Source organism: Homo sapiens, chromosome X, assembly GCF_000001405.40.
Source record: "Homo sapiens chromosome X, GRCh38.p14 Primary Assembly".
Taxonomy (NCBI): domain Eukaryota; kingdom Metazoa; phylum Chordata; class Mammalia; order Primates; family Hominidae; genus Homo; species Homo sapiens.
This window is the reverse complement of record NC_000023.11, coordinates 138,861,107-138,876,926: the sequence shown is the minus strand read 5'-3', so window position 1 is coordinate 138,876,926 and position 15,820 is coordinate 138,861,107. Positions and strand designations below refer to the sequence as shown.

Sequence of the window (15,820 nt, the reverse complement as noted above, 5' to 3'; positions counted from 1 at the left end):
ATTAAGAAATTTTTCTTTTGTTGTATCCTTTCTGAGGTAACTAAGTATTGAGATAATTGTTTATCTTTATCATGGTAATCTTTATAGACCACATAGAGAGATCCATCTTAAATATTCTGGTCCATCACCATAGTTTGTTTCTTCAAACTTAACACTCAAAGTCTCAAAATGACAGCACATTTGGGGCTAGTAAACTCTCTGCCAGTGAATGCTTAGAGGACGTAGCATAGGTAGCTCAGTATCTCACAAGGCCTACGGCTGTGCTCTTTTCTGGAGGTCAGCATCCTCTTCTAAGCTCATGTGATTGTTGGCAGACTTCAGTTGTTTGTGGCAATAGGACCAACATCCCCATTTATTGCTGGCTGTCACACAGGGCCTATTCCGAGCTCCTAGAGACTTCCCAAAGTCCCTTGCCATGTGGCCCCCTCGTAGGCCTGCTCACATGGCAGCTTACTTTTTTAAGGCCTGAAGGTAAATCTCTCTTTTAATGCTTTCACTTGATTAAGTCAGACCCACCCAGATTAGTGTGCCTTTTGATGAACTCAAAATCAACTGATCAGGGGCATGAATTACATCTTAAAAATCACTTTACCTTTACTATATTCTATTGGCTAAAAGCATATCAGAGGTTCTGCCTACATTTTAAGGTGAGAGGGTTATACAAGGGTGTAATCCATTGGGCATCATTCTAGGGTGTGTCCACCACAATGTGGAACTATCACCCTGTATTGTTGAGAGATGGAAAGAAGAGAACTGATTTTTACAATGAAAAACCAAAGCAGCCATGTCAAACTTGGTAAAAGAAATGGGCAAGTGGTCCCTTTATGTGTTTCAGCTTCCCATAGTGTGCGTTTGCTTCAATCAGGGTTCTCCAGAGAAACAGAACCAATAAAGTGTGTGTGTGTGTGTGTGTGTGTGTGTGTGTGTGTGTACAAGCCGATAGGGAGATAATAATAAATCAGACTTTCATGGTTATGCAGGTATGCAAGTCCCAAGATCTGCAAGGTTAGTCAACAAGCTAGAGATGCAGAAGAGCTGATTTATATATCTAATCCAAGTCCAAACGCCTGAGAACCGGGAGAGCTGATGATGTAATTCTAGTCCATTGGCTGGCAGTGCTGAGACACAGGAAGTGCCAGTGTTTCAGCTTAAGTTTGAAGGCAAGAGAAAAGCTGATGACTCAGTTCAAAGGTCACCAGGCATGAAGAATTATTTCTTACTTAGGAGAGGATCAGTCCTCTTGTTCTATTCAGGCCTTCAACTGATTGGGTGAGGCCCACCCACATTATGGAGAGTAATCTGCTTTACTCAGTCTACCGATTAAGAAAAAAAACACTCATAGGCATACCTAGAATAATGTTTGACCAACTATCTGGGCACCACATGGCCCAGTCAAGTTAACACATAAAATTAGCCATCACATTGTCCTTCAGTAATCGCATGTCATTTCCCCTAACAAGTGACACTAATTCAGTTATTATGACAAATGGACTCAACCAGTTTCTGCTATTCCAATAAACCAGTCAAGGATGAGTGGCCTCCATCAGGCTGTTTCCTGCATCTGTTGCTGGAGTACATTACAGGTGTGGTTACAAGGTTTTAAGCTGTGTGTCTCCAGTGAACTGCTGGACTGCTGGGAGAAGAGAAGTAAGCTGCACTTTCTTTCTTTTCTTTTCTGTTTTTTTTTTTTTTTTTGAGACAGAGTCTCGCTCTGTCACCGAGGCTGGAGTGCAGTGGTGCAATCTTGGCTCACTGCAACCTTCGCCTCCCGGGTTCAAGTGATTCTCCTGCCTCAGCCTCCTGAGTAGCTGGGATTGCAGGCACGTGCCACCATACCCAGCTAATTTTTAGTAGAGACGGGGTTTCACCATGTTGGTCAGGCTGGTCTCAAACTCCTGACCTCATGATCCGCCCGCCTCGGCCTCCCAAAGTGCTGGGATTACAGGCATGAGCCACCTCGCCCAGTCACAAGCTGCACTTTCTCAGGAGCAGAGAGGCTAATATGAAGCTAAGTACAGAGAGAGGCCCGAGGCTGCTTGTAGTTTCCCAGCTAGGCATGCCTATTGCCTCCTCTGTCTATTTGCCTTTGCCACATTCTCCATTCATTAGGACTGACCTAAGTATAGATATCAAAAAGAGAACCAAGTTACTCTTCTGCTGACCAGGAATTTGGTAAGGAGCTCCCAATGTTCCCTGCAGAGAAGAGGAACTTACAGAGAAATGGCCTGCTGAAAAAGGCTGACAACCCAAATTTGCATGTAAGTCAGTCCATGATCATTGCTGCTTCTTAGATTTGAGTGTGACCCATCCTGCTCTCTTGCCCAAAACATCTTTTTCAAGCTTGCCATAACTTCACCTAATGATCGCTTTGCCAGATAGAGACTTGCGTCAAGTGATGTCTTGAGTAGCTTAGAATATCTCATATATAGTAAGCTTGTCTTTGAGAGGCTGTCAGTTAAACAGGTGTTACAAAAAGCCGTTGGGGAAAAAAAAGAGAAGAAAGAATTGCCCTCTAGGCAACTCTTAAAGGATTGTGATTATTCTGCATTTCATAGGAACTCTAAAAGTATCTCTTTTACCACTCAGCAAGTAAGCATCTAAATTGGCTGGGAGATAATTTACGTGGAACTTTTTGCCCTGTCTTTCTTGAGTCTAATCTTAAATTCTACTTAACTGTCCATTAAGGAAGACGCAGAGAGCTGTCCTTAGTATGAGAATTGGGAAATGGTTTTTTTTTTTTAATTTTACTTTATATATATATATATATATATTTATTATACTTTAAGTTCTAGGGTATGTGTGCACGACGTGCAGGTTTGTTACATATGTATACATGTACCATGTTGGTGTGCTGCACCCATTAACTCATCATTTTCATTAGGTATATCTCCTAATGCTACCCCTCCCCCCTCCCCCCCACCCCACAACAGGCCCCGGTGTGTGATGTGCCCCTTCCTGTGTCCAAGTGTCCTCATTGTTCAATTCCCACCTATGAGTGAGAACATGCGGTGTTTGGTTTTTTGTCCTTGCCATAGTTTGCTGAGAATGATGGTTTCCACTTTCATCCACGTCCCTACAAAGGACGTGAATTCATCCTTTTTTATGGCTACATAGTATTCCATGGTGTATATGTGCCACATTTTCTTAATCCAGTCGGGAAATGGTTTTACTCTGGCTGACATTTTTGAAGCTTGTGAAAACTGGCATGTTTCAATTTCTAGAAGACACCAATAAACACTCCCCAAATGACCAGTTTCTCAACATGAATTTAATTAATGGGAAAATCGGAGGCACGTCAGGAGAGACTCACTGACAGGGGCCACTGGAAAAGACAGGGAGGTAAGATTTGGGAAGCTTGTGCTGCCTCCCAGTGTGGACATTACTCCAATGCCATTCAAGAAGAATGAATTCACAGCTTTATTTCCCCTTTGCGTTAGTTTTCCTGTTCCCATGTATGACCTACATTATCTTTCCCACGTCCTTATTGCTGCTTTGAAATAGAGATTTTGACAGAGCTTCCTGTGGGACTACAAGAACTTCAGTCAATAACTAGTGATTTCCATGGCAGCAGAAGGTTTTTAAATTAATGTGGCAGTCTGTACCTTCCATCTGTGAAGGACCAAACCGGCACTCCCTCACCTCTCTCTTTCCTTCTACCTGGTGTTTTTACCATTCCTCCTTCCAATTTTTTTCTGGCCTTATAGTGCAGGTCTCCTGGTACTGATCTGGACCATGAAACACAGGAAGCCAGAGCCAAATTGGCCAGCAAAGCTTCACGTTTTGTAGAGGATTTAGGCTTCTCCAATACTATGAAGGCCATGATTCTGAGCATTCACAAATATTGCTGGGAGTTGTGGCAGCGGAGCACAAAAAAACCTCAAAACGTTCTTTTTCTCCCCCTGTCTAAGTTGCAAACAAATTAAGAAGTAAAATGAGAACAGTGTATAAAAAGCAATTGGATAGACGTAATCACTTGGCCACAGAAAATCCTGAGTGACAGTAGACCCTTGTCCCCCTCTTCCACCCCTCACTTGTCACAAAGGCCCTCCCCCTACAAACTTAAGGCATAAAGGAGCAGAGAAGAATGAATGCTTTCTCCAGTGAGCTGACTCCCAAGGAGAAAGTAAAAAGGAAGGAGCTGAGCTAGGAATGCTAGTTTATCTTTTGAAACCTCACCAGTCAGTCTACCACTTCCATAAAAGAGTGAATCATGGGCCAGAGGGAAGCCAGCACTGTTATGCTAATGCGATTCATATCAAAAACAGTATCAAGAAGAGGGAAGAACCCCCTGCCCCATGTAAGCTCTGAAAAAAATTAGAGGTCATCTGGTCAACTCCAGTTGAGGAAATCTGGATTCACACAGATGATGTGGCTTATTCAATAAGGAGTAGAGCTTAGGCTGATTTAGGCTGATCTAGAGGACAGAAACAAGAATGGTGTAGGAGTTCTAGAGAATCAGTTTTTCAAGGATGTTGTTTTGCAAACTGCCCATCATCATTTCCATCACTGCCATCAGTACTCTCCTGCAATGTTAATATTTGCCGGGTACCTATTTGATCACATTCTACATAGATAGATTTAGTGCAATGAGACACCACAGGAGAGAGCTAACTGTGGGATGTCTCTCCTCCTTGCCCAAAGAGTAGAGTTAGCTAATCCACAGTAATTATTTTCCGTTTGTGAAATGTATATCCCAGGGAGTTATTATTATCAAAGGGTATCTATATTAAATAGTGTCATTAGATGCTGCCTGCCATCAGCCATTACTTCTGTTCATCAGAGTTTTATATTCCTAGTGTGTATAACCAGAATCTAACTACTTCTTCCCAACTACACAACTGCCACTGGTCCTAACTACTGTCACCTGTTGCTTAGATTATAGCCGTAGCCTCCTAACCAGTCTCCCTGCTTCCATCTTTGCGCCCTGCAGTCTGTTCTCTACATAGCAGCAAGAGTGAGCCTTTGAACACATAAGCCAGCTCACATCATTCTTCTGCCTGACACTATCCAGTGGCTGCCCGCCAGTCAGAATTAAAGCCAGAGCTGTTACAATGGCCTACATGAGCAGACTTCCTTTTACCCTTCTGGCCTCATCTCCTACCTCTCTCCTCTTCAATCTCTCAGTTCCTGCCATACTGGTCTCCTTCATTTTCTACAAAAACAGCAATTCACACTCCTATCTCAGGACCTTTACATTTTTGATACTTCTACTGGAAACTCTTTTCTCCTGGGTATCTCTGTGGCTCACTCCCTTCCGCACTTCCTCCAGCCTCTGCGCCAATGTCTTCTTCTTAGTGAGGACTTCTATATTATGTAGATTAGGCTGAATTATACTGCAATAGCAGAAAGCTAATTGACACATTAGGAACTTAACTCATAAATAGTTATTTCTCACTTAGGTGGATCTAGCAGCAATTTGGAGCAGCTTCTTTCCAATCAGTGACTCAGATACCCTTGGAGGTCTCAGCTTAACAATTTGTTTACTGTCTCTTTACTCCTCACCACCCTCAAATGTGTAAACTATATGAAAGCAAGAATTTTTGTCTGTTCCCCCCCCATCTTCTATATACTGTATGCTTTGAATAGTGCCTGGCATACAGTAGATTTCCAATAAATATTTGTTGGAAGAATGTTGAAAGGTAGTGAGATGAGAAGGAATGGAAAATAAAAACCTCAAAGGAAGCTTCTTTGTGTGTATGTTTTCTTCTCAGGTTAAATACAGTGAAGCTGTGTCAATTCTGCATACAATATTTGGTTATTGTTATAACTATAGAAGGCATGTGGACTTTAAAACCTACTTAGGTTTTCAGTATCAAGATTTGAACATTTCATTTGTTTTCTATTGCTGCCATAACATATTACCACAAACTTAGGGGCTCAAACAACACAAATTGATTATCCTACATTTCTGTAGGTCAGAAATCAGACACCCATCTCCCTAGGCCAAAATTAAGGTCTTGGCAGGGCTGCATTCCTTTTTGGAGACTCTAGGCAGGATCTGTTTCCTTGCTCCTTTTGATCCTCAGCACGATTCAATTCCTTGCGGAATGGAGATCTCTGCTTTATTGTTGGCTGTCAACTGAGGGCCATCCCTGGCTTCTAGAGACTATGTGTACTCTTTGGCACATGGCTTCCTTCCTACATCTCCAAAGCCAGCAATGGCAAGCTGAGTCTCTTCAAACTTTTGATCCCTCCTGCCTCTTCTTTCCTTTCATCTCTCTGCTCCACTATTCTACCTTCCTCATTTTATTTTAAGAGTTCATGTGACTACATTGGGCCTACCTGGATAATCCAGGCTAATATCCCCCATCTAAGGGTAAATTGAATAGCAACCTTAATTTCATCTGCAGTCTTAAGGTAACATAGTCATAGGTTCCAGGGATTTAGGACATGGGCATTTTTGAGGACCATTATTCAGCCTTTCAGAGATACGCAGACAAATAGAAGGTATGGGATAGTTGGTAAGAATGTAGGTTTGGGAGGCATGCAGACCTTGCTTTGAATCAGCTCTTCATCTTGATAGCTGGGTTAATCGGGATATGTTGTAACCTCTTTGACATTCAGTTTTCTCTCTGTTAAATGTGAACATGGGTTGCTATGAATATTAAAAATGATATGTAAAAGTGTATGGTATATATCAAGAACTCTACTTTACTACTTAAAAAAATAATGTGACAATTCCTAATGTTCTGAATCTAAGCATCAAATGCAGCTTAGAGCTCAATGTGGAGGACATTGCCTTTAATAAAACAAAGTAGGCCAAGTGCTCTTTTGCTAAAACCTCAATTAACCAGCTAGGTTTATAGGGAATGAGAGGGGAGTTACATATAAGTGTTGATAATTCATTTATACCTAAATCGTTAAACGCTATTTTAAGGACATTTGATGACTTGAGGCTTTCAAAGAAGTCGTAATGCCTTTTTCTTAAATAGTAATGCTGCCAAGAGTAAGCAAACTAAAATACCATTTGCTTTGAAATTCTTCTCAAACAAATTTGGAGCGGGTTCTAACCTGGCACAATATATTCTTCCATCTGTAATCCCTGCAAGGACAGCCCCCCTGAAAATAAACACCAGCGCTATTTACTGAATGGGGAATTAGAATCTGTGGCAGGCAAGAATGCAAAGAAAAGCACCCATTTAGTTGGAATATTTATTTCTCTATTAGAATTGTTTAATGGATTTCAACTATCGTAATTGAGAGTTATGTTCTAGTGTTTTCCATTAGCTAAAAATGTGCTTCTTTTAAGTATCTAAGGAGGACAAATTCCTCCACAGCAAATAGGTAGAGAAATGCATTTCCTGGAGGTGTTGACCGTTTGAGCTTGCAAATTGATGAATACAATGTTGGGGCCAAATTGAACTAACTGCCTTTTGATGAGCTTGAGTGCAGCTTGTGACTAACTAGGGAGAGGATTTTACCAGTGCATTCTTTAAATGAAACAAGAGGATCCAAGGACTCATGTCTTGATCAATTGGAAGAGCTTCTCCTACATCCCTTCCTGTACTTCCTCCCTGCTTTTGCTACTACTCTCATCAGTGGCACAGCCACATCATATGGAAAGCCAGGTAGCACAAAGCCAAAATGTCATACACATACTTCATATTTCAGAAATGGTTCTGTAGATCAGCCCACCTATTGGTATCTGCTTCATGGTTTTTGCCAAAAGGTCAGTCAAGATGGGTTGTTAATGTACTTGAGTGAATTTTCACCATTGTTCCTGGGCATGGAGAAAAGCATCAATAGGTGACAGAAGCATATATGATCACAGAACGTTGGCAGGAAGGAAAAGAAGAGCACCCTACCTGCTTGAAAATAAAAGTATTTCCTGACTAATAAGGTAAAATGAGTTTGCTACTTAGATACTTTTGGGGGGTGGTTATGGAAAGATGGAGGTGCACATGATGGCATTGATCATTCTTCCAATCATATAATTTTCCAGCAACATTTGCACTATAATTTTTTTTGCCGCTAGCACTAGAACCAAGGAATTCCTAGCGGTCAACTGAGCCTGGGGTGGGGTCTTCGTGAGGCAGGGAGCTCTGGACACATCCCTGGAAATTTCGGGCAACCATCAGGACCAAATTTCTCGCTTGACCCATGAAATTTGGATCAGAGATTAGGTTTCCAAACACCAAATAAAAGTGTGAAGGGGATAGTGATGATGCATAGTGCAGGGCTCTTCCAGCATGCCATGTGAAGAGGTGTGGTGTTGATGAGCACATTTTCTAGGAAGACAGGAGTGTAATGCCTGAGAATGCACTCTATAGTATATTGGTGAGGAAACCTCAGTCCTCTGAGCTTTAATACTCCAAAAATTGAAAAGATTGAGAGAAGAAAATAGGCTTTCTCTAGCAATTTAGCCTATAATATTGCCTGAGAAAGGTGTTAAGATCAAAGGCTGAGAAGATTTCGGGCAAGAAAGTTTATATGAGTAACTATGACATCACTCTGTGAGCCTAACTGGAGTTTCTCTACTAATTGTTACTAATGTCAAAGACATATGTCCAGCCTCACACACACGTGCATGCAAACACACACACACACGCACACACACACACACTGGGCCCCGCTGGCTGGAACAACATGCATAGGGCAGTGAGTTTTCTAGAAACTTTGCCTGAAATGTTGGCAGTGACCTCCATAAGTATGCATGGAGGAAGAGGCAAAATTTAGTGCAAAAACAATGCCTGGAATCGATATGTAAATAATCTTTAAAGGCTGCCTAGATAATTCAGTTCCTGGGACACTGTGGCCAGAGGCACTTTACATTTAAAGCAAAGTGAGTGAGACCAAACATTTTTCAATGAAGCCAGTCACATATTGAACATTTTCATGAAATTTCAGACAGCATTTTGAAAGAAATACTATTAGTCAATTTGATAATCCATAAGCAGTACAGCCATCTTTTTCTCCACTGAGTCATCTCTCCTACTTTGGTTAGAAAACTAAAGTGAAGTTCGTGTGAGGCCTTCTCTGGACCAGCAGTTATAAGTGGTTGAAAATTTTTTGTGCGTGGTGGGAGTGGAAGACACCTTCACGTTAACTTGAATTCAGCTTCAGTTACTACTTAGGGAGGATAGATAGATAGATGATAGATAGATAGATAGATAGATAGATAGATAGATAGATAGATAGATAGATTTAGAGACAGTGATACGGTTTGGCTGTGTTCCCACCCAAATCTCATCTTGAATTATAGTTCCCATAATTCCCACATATTGTGGGAGAGACCCGGTGGGAGATAATTGAATCATGGGGGTAGTGCCCCCATACTGTTCTTGTGGTAGTGAATAAGTCTCAGAAGATCTGATGGTTTTATAGGGGAAAAGCCCTTTTGCTTGGTTCTCATTCTTTCTCTTCCCTGATGCCATGTAACATGTGATTTGCTCCTCCTTGCCTTCCACCGTGATGTGAGGCCTCCCCAACCAAGTGGAACTGTGAGTCCATTAAACCTCCTTTCCAGTCTGGGGTATGTCTTTATCAGCAGCATGAAAATGGACTAATACAGACAGAGTCTTGCTTTGTCACCCAGGTTTGAGTAGGGTGGCACAATCATAGGTCACTGCAGCCTCGAACTCGTGGGCTCAAGCAAGCCTCCCACCTCAGCCTCCTGAGTAGCCATGACTACAGGTGTGTGTCACTATGTCTGGCTAATATTTTTTACATTAAAATTTTTTTTGTAGAGATGTGGTCTCACTATGTTGCCCAGGCTGGTCTCAAACTCCTGCATCAGCCTCTCAAAGCCCTTGGATTACAGGTGTGAGCCATTGCACCCACCAGGGAGTACTTAATACATAGGGAATAGCTATCATGGGGTAGGCACTATGCTGGATGCTCCCACCCACATTATCTTGTTTAATTGTTAAAGTGACCTTGTTAGGAATTAAACGTCGAGATTCAGTTTGGTCATCTGTAAGAGATAGGAAATTGACTTGCACAAGGTCATGTTGTAGGTGATGTTCTTTCCCCAACCTTTAGTTGTGTTTCCATGTGTATATATTTAACTGATGCCCAAATAATGCTTGGCCTCAGAAGAGAAGAGAATTGACCCATACTTAGTACTGACTATGTGACTGTGTGCCAGCTATTGTGCAATGTGCATCTCCAACTTTAATGTGCATAGCAGTCGCTTCAGAACCTCGTGAAAATAGATTCTGATTCTGCTGATCTGGAGTTAGCAGTCCTGCAAGTCTGCATTTCTAACAAGCTCCCAGGTGAAACCCAGGATGCTGGGCCAGGATTTACACTTAACCCTAGCTATCATCTCATCTTATGGTTGAGGAAACTAAGCCTCAAGGAGTATACAGGACTTGCCCAAGGTCACACTGGTGGTAAGTGGTGGTGGGGGTGGGAGCGGAACTGTGATTTGAAAGCAGGATAGGTTGATTATAAGGCCGTTGCTGGTACAGTGCAATCTGCCACATCGCCCAAGGTTTTTGAAACCTTCTTCTTAAGAGAGGAGAAAATCCATTTGAATTCCAGGCTTGATGAAGGGGCCTGGCACTTTAAAGTCCTAGTTTCTTCTAAAGCTCTTTCTTCTAAGCTCAGAAAAACATGGTCTTTGCAGTTAATTGTGCATACGTTTATGTTTTTTCTCTTGGCTTCTTCAGATAGACACTTTGGTTTGCCACCCTTGCTTCACCTTGGGAACTCTAAACTACTAAGGCCCAAGCCCCACTCATAGGCCAATTAAACCAGAATCTCTGGAGGTGGGGCCCAAACATGGGCATGTTATTAAAGCTCCCCAGGTGATTCTGATGTGCAGCTAGGATAAAGAACCACTGAATTACAGATTCAAGGAAACAATTTCTGGAAAAATGTAGCCTCAGTCCCCTTTCTCGTGGATGTCATTAAAGAAGGTCCAGTGTATTTAACTAGACATTCACCAACAAGATTTCCAATTAGTTCTTGGTACCATTTTATTTTGTGACTGCGAGCTTGGACTGCTCTGAGATTGCAGCCTATATAAAGTTTGAAATGATTCTGTACAGACCCTAAGGGTGGGGAGCTGGTAAGGAGGGATGAGAGTAGAAAGATACAACATCATAGACCAGCTCCAGGGCAAAGACACATGTTGTAGGTCCTGATTTTCTTGCTAACCTAAGTTCTTGGGGGGGTATTTTGAAAAACTGAATTTGATTTTATTCAATTCAACAAAACTGGCTAGTCAAGAGATGGTCATTTTTAAAAATGAGAACACAGTGCAGGGTTGGATTAATGCTATAGAACTCTGAGCAGACCACCTTGGTGGGTGAGGCTGGAACAGGGCTTCTGTGTAGAGACGTGTGCTGCTGTGCAATTTTACACAGTGAACAGCGCCACTGCACAAGAGTACATACTCTAGCCTGAGGTGTGGGAAGAAACGCAAATAATTGGATAATCATGAGCCAGAGCCTGCCCTCAGGGAAGAGAGAGGAGAGAGAGAGGAGAGAGAGAGGAGAGAGAGAGAGGAGAGAGAGAGAGAGAGAGAGAGGAGAGAGAGAGAGAGAGAAGAGAGAGAGGAATTTTCACTGGAGAGAGTAAAGAAAGGCTTTACTTAGAGCAGTAATTTTCAACCTTGGCTCTGTAGTCAAATCATCTGAGGAGCATTGAAACCTACCAGTGCTCAGGCCCCAGCCAGGTGTTTCTGTTTTAATTGATCTGGTGTGGCAACATGGGTGTTTTGGTTTTTAAAAGTCCTCCAGGTGATGCTAATGCTAAACCACAACTGAGAACCACTGGTTTAGATTGCGTTCGTACTGGGCAGAGGAGAATGCATACAGGCAGAGAAACCTGGGAGAGACAAGTAGCTTGGGAGAGTCGTTCTCCAATCTAAGTATGATCCTTGACCAGCAGCATCAGCACCACCTGGGAACTTGTTATAAATGCCAATTCTCAAGTTCCAGCCCAAACCACCTCAATTAGAAACTCCTGGGTGGGGGTCCACAGTCAGTCTCAATAAGCCCTCTAGGTGACTGTGAGGCTCACTTAAGTTCGACTTGGACATGAACGTTTATGGAAAGGGAGTGCAATGAGCTAAAGCTATAAGACTTGAACCTAACAAGCTGATGTCAACTCTCCTGATGGTACCATTGAGATGTACAGCAATAACCAGTGTTCTAAGGTGGAATGTACTCCTCTCTAGTCTTACCATATCTTTCTTATCTGTTTGAAACTGTAGCACAGAAAAAAGTATATGTCATTCATGCAGGGGCAGAATACTTCTGGAAGAAGACTCTGCTTTTCTGGTAGAAGCTGCACTTTTCTTCTTAGTGGACCTATTTCTGTCTTCAGCAGGGGGATCTATCCTCCCTGGCCACATGGGCCTTTGGCTGATGGAAAGGCTGGGCTTTGAGGAAGCTGCATAGGTAAGGTGAAAGAGGGTCCCCCAACCTCCCCTTTTTGCTTCTCGTTCCCACCTGGGCCAGGACTTCGGTTGGCTGGGCCCCACCTGCCATTCACAGCAGGCCCCTGAGGCTACTCACAGAATGCCAAGTGATGCCACTCAGTAGAGAAAGTCTTTGTCCTATGCTGAGTAAAGACCCCACTGATGTGTAGCAGTGGTGCTTTATGTTTTGCCAGTCAGAGGCTTTCTTTTACCTGGGAGGTTGATGTGCACACCAGTGCATTCCCCTCTCTTCCTGGTCTGCATTGTATGGGCCAAACTCTCCAAAATGGAATAGCTGAGTCCTTGCAGGATGCTGAGCATCTTTGAGGGTCAAAAAAGTGTTTCCAGGATTGGAGCTAACTCTTCACAAAGAGGTTTGTAGGACAAAGGGACTTTACCCATCAAGTCCAGTGATTCTCAAATAAGGCAATTTTGCCTTCAGTTGTCAGGGCGGGGATTGGGGGGATTTGACAATGTCCGGAGGCATTTTTTGTTGTCACAACTTTGGGGAGCAGTGCCACTGGCATCTAGTGAGTAGAGGCTAGGGATACAGCTCAACATCCTACAATGGACAAAACAGCCCTTCACAACAAAGAATTATCAGGCTTCGAATATCAAAAGTTCCAGTGTTGAGAAACCCTGACCTAGTCTAAACCCCTTATTTTTGAAATGAGGCAGCTGAGGCTCACAGAGGTGAAATTACATTCTAAAGGTTACACAGAAAGCATCAAGTCAGGGTGAGGCTCCTGGTTTTCCAACTACCAGAGTGCATTGCTCAACAGTTTCATCTCTGGCAGGGACAGTGTTTCCTCCATTGCAGATACCATTTACTTTGTGCCTACTAGGTGCCAGGCAATGGGCTAGACTCTTCATTTATTACCGCTTCATAGCACACACCTTCAATGTAGGCATGACTATCCCTAGAAGTGGCTCATTTTGTGCATGCAAAACAACTGTATGAAAAGTGTTATAGGCCATTAAGAAAGCAAAAATGATTGCAAAAGAGACTGAGACATGGTTCTTGTCCTGGGAGCTTACATTCAAGTAGTGGAGAAAAGATATATGTCAAAATAGTGATCATCTAGCTTTTTACTTAAGGCCCATGATAATAACCAAAAACCTGTCCCGAGGCACCACAAGATAAATTTCTTAAAACGTATGTGGAAATTGAGAGTTAGGAGAGGGAGCTGACTGTATGCCTTAGCATCATGGGAAGGCTACATAGGTCAAAGAGAATTATTTGTGTGTATTATGAGTAAGCACTATCCTAGATCCCACATATAAATGGTCAATGAGACATATAATGTCTCTGCCTCAGGGGGCTTATATTCTTGTAGGGAAAGCCAGACAAGAGAGAAATACATACATATATAAGTAATTATAGACTGTGACAAATTGAAACCTCCCTAACGTGGCTAAAAGGGCATCTCTGAGGAGGTGACATTTTAGTGGAACCCTGAAGGACATAAAGGGGCCACTTGAAGGACATAAAGGGGTACAAGGCCTTGAGGCAGGAGAAAGCCTGGCATATTCTAGATACTAATGGAAAGCTAACGTGAGCCAGAAGAGAGGCATATAATAAAATTGAGGAGGTGAGGGGCCAGCATGGTAGGGAGTTTGCATTTCATTCTACCATGAAAAGAGCAAGTTAGCCTGAAGAAACATAGGATGGATGAAGACCTAGTAATGCTTGGAGAATGAGGGAGGTTGCAAAGGAGAAGGTAACTGAAATTTCCAAACATTGAAAAGTTGTTTCTACCTTGAACAAATTGAAAGACCATTAGCATTGATCTGTTCCATTCAGTGAATTATTTACTTAAGTTACTCATGCACATTTAAACCTGCTAACTTCATAGTGTCCATGGTGGCAGTAAAGCTTAAATCTTATATAGAGATAAGTAGATGGTTAGCTGGGAGGAAAAATGGAGGTCTTGAGCTAACACATCCTGTGGTTGAATGCACTTTTCAGCATGACAGGTGCTCAGTGACATGGAAGAGTCATTGCTCTAATTACCCCATTTTTTTTTCTCTCTTTCTGATTAGGTAAGGATGTCTGATAATCTGTATGTTTTGCCATATTTTCTGTTTCATAGATTTTTTAAGTATTTTATTGTTGGAGTCACTAATATGTGTCTAATAATTTTGATTGGTAGTCCCATTGCTGTCTACATTGCTGTGGCCTTGGTGATCTCAGATTTGCTTTGATTTAAAATCATGTATCATTAATTATGTTCTGTTATCTTTCGGAAGAGTTAATTTAAAGGCAAACAGCATCATCATCAAATAATTGAGGGCTTGTTAACTGCTTCCAGCTTGAAGCCAGCAAACCTTGCGAATTACAGTGGCCTGCTGAGGGGGCAGATGCCTCTGTGGCATTGTCAAAACAGTTTCCTAGGCTGTCTCTGGTTGCTTTTCTGTCTTTGAATAAGGGAAAAAGTTTTTTGGAGACAGGGGTAGTCTTGAAAAGTAAAAAATACTGAAGAACCCAATAGCTATCTAATATATTGATGCTTTTACAAAGTTGTCTTACTTTATTTATTTATTTAATTTTTTTGAGATGGCGTCTCACTCTGTCGCCCAGGTTGGTGTGTAGTGGTGCCATCTTGGCTCACTGCAACCTTCGCCTCCTGGGTTCGAGCAATTCTCCTGTCTCAGCCTCCCGAGTAGCTGGGATTACAGGCGTGTGCCACCATGCCTGGCTAATTTTTGTATTTTTAGTAGAGATAGGGTTTTGCCATGTTGGCCAGTCTAGTCTCGAACTCATGACCTCAGGTGATCCACCTGCCTTGGCCTCCCAAAATGCTGAGATTACAGGCGTGAGCCACCACACCCGACAAAAGCTGTCTTACTTTAGACTTGTTGACAAACACACTGGAATCCTGGCTACATGATAGGCTTTTTCAATAACTTACTATGTGACTTTTAAGAAGTTGCTTCCCCTCCTGAGTTTTATTTTCCTTATGTTTTAAAACAAAGGAGTGGCATTAAATTATCTCTAAAGAAATTTTGTTTGAAATGACATAGAGGATTTCATCATAGTGTTTGTCACGTACTAAATATTTAGGTAGCTGTTTTCTGAGGCCAATGTTATGTCTATTGATACAACTTTTATAGAGTAAACCAAAACATTCTAAATATAGGAAAGATAAATGATTAACTTATTTAGCTTCAAATATATTTAAAGGATACATTGCATTGGAATTTTTTTATTCTATCAGAGATTAAGGTTTACTATAAGATTGGTTCTTTCTTTACCTCTAGTTTGAAATGGGAATACTGTATTTCTGTGAACATGAGTACGTTAGGCCAGGTCAGCAGGCTTAGACTCTGTTAAACTCTCTCCTCTTACCATGACTGCTCCCTGACTGTGTCCTTAACCTTGACAATGGCAGAACAGCACTGCTGCTGCTGAGAAACCAAACCTAGATGCAAGCTTGCCCACCTGATGGT

At 42.1% G+C, this 15,820-nt stretch overlaps 1 protein-coding gene across 4 annotated transcripts in view; it reads left to right on the top strand.

Moving 5' to 3' along the window:
* Positions 1–15,820, top strand: part of FGF13 (fibroblast growth factor 13) — a 590,297-nt gene that overhangs the window by 328,097 nt on the left and 246,380 nt on the right. Inside the window, exon 1 of one of the 4 annotated variants that reach the window (NM_001139502.2) lies at positions 9,372–9,440. The exons of the other annotated variants lie outside the window; for them this stretch is intronic. The gene's annotated coding sequence lies outside the window, so the exon portion shown is untranslated. Of the gene's footprint in view, positions 1–9,371; positions 9,441–15,820 lie in introns of those variants that run through there. 4 annotated transcript variants of the gene reach the window in all.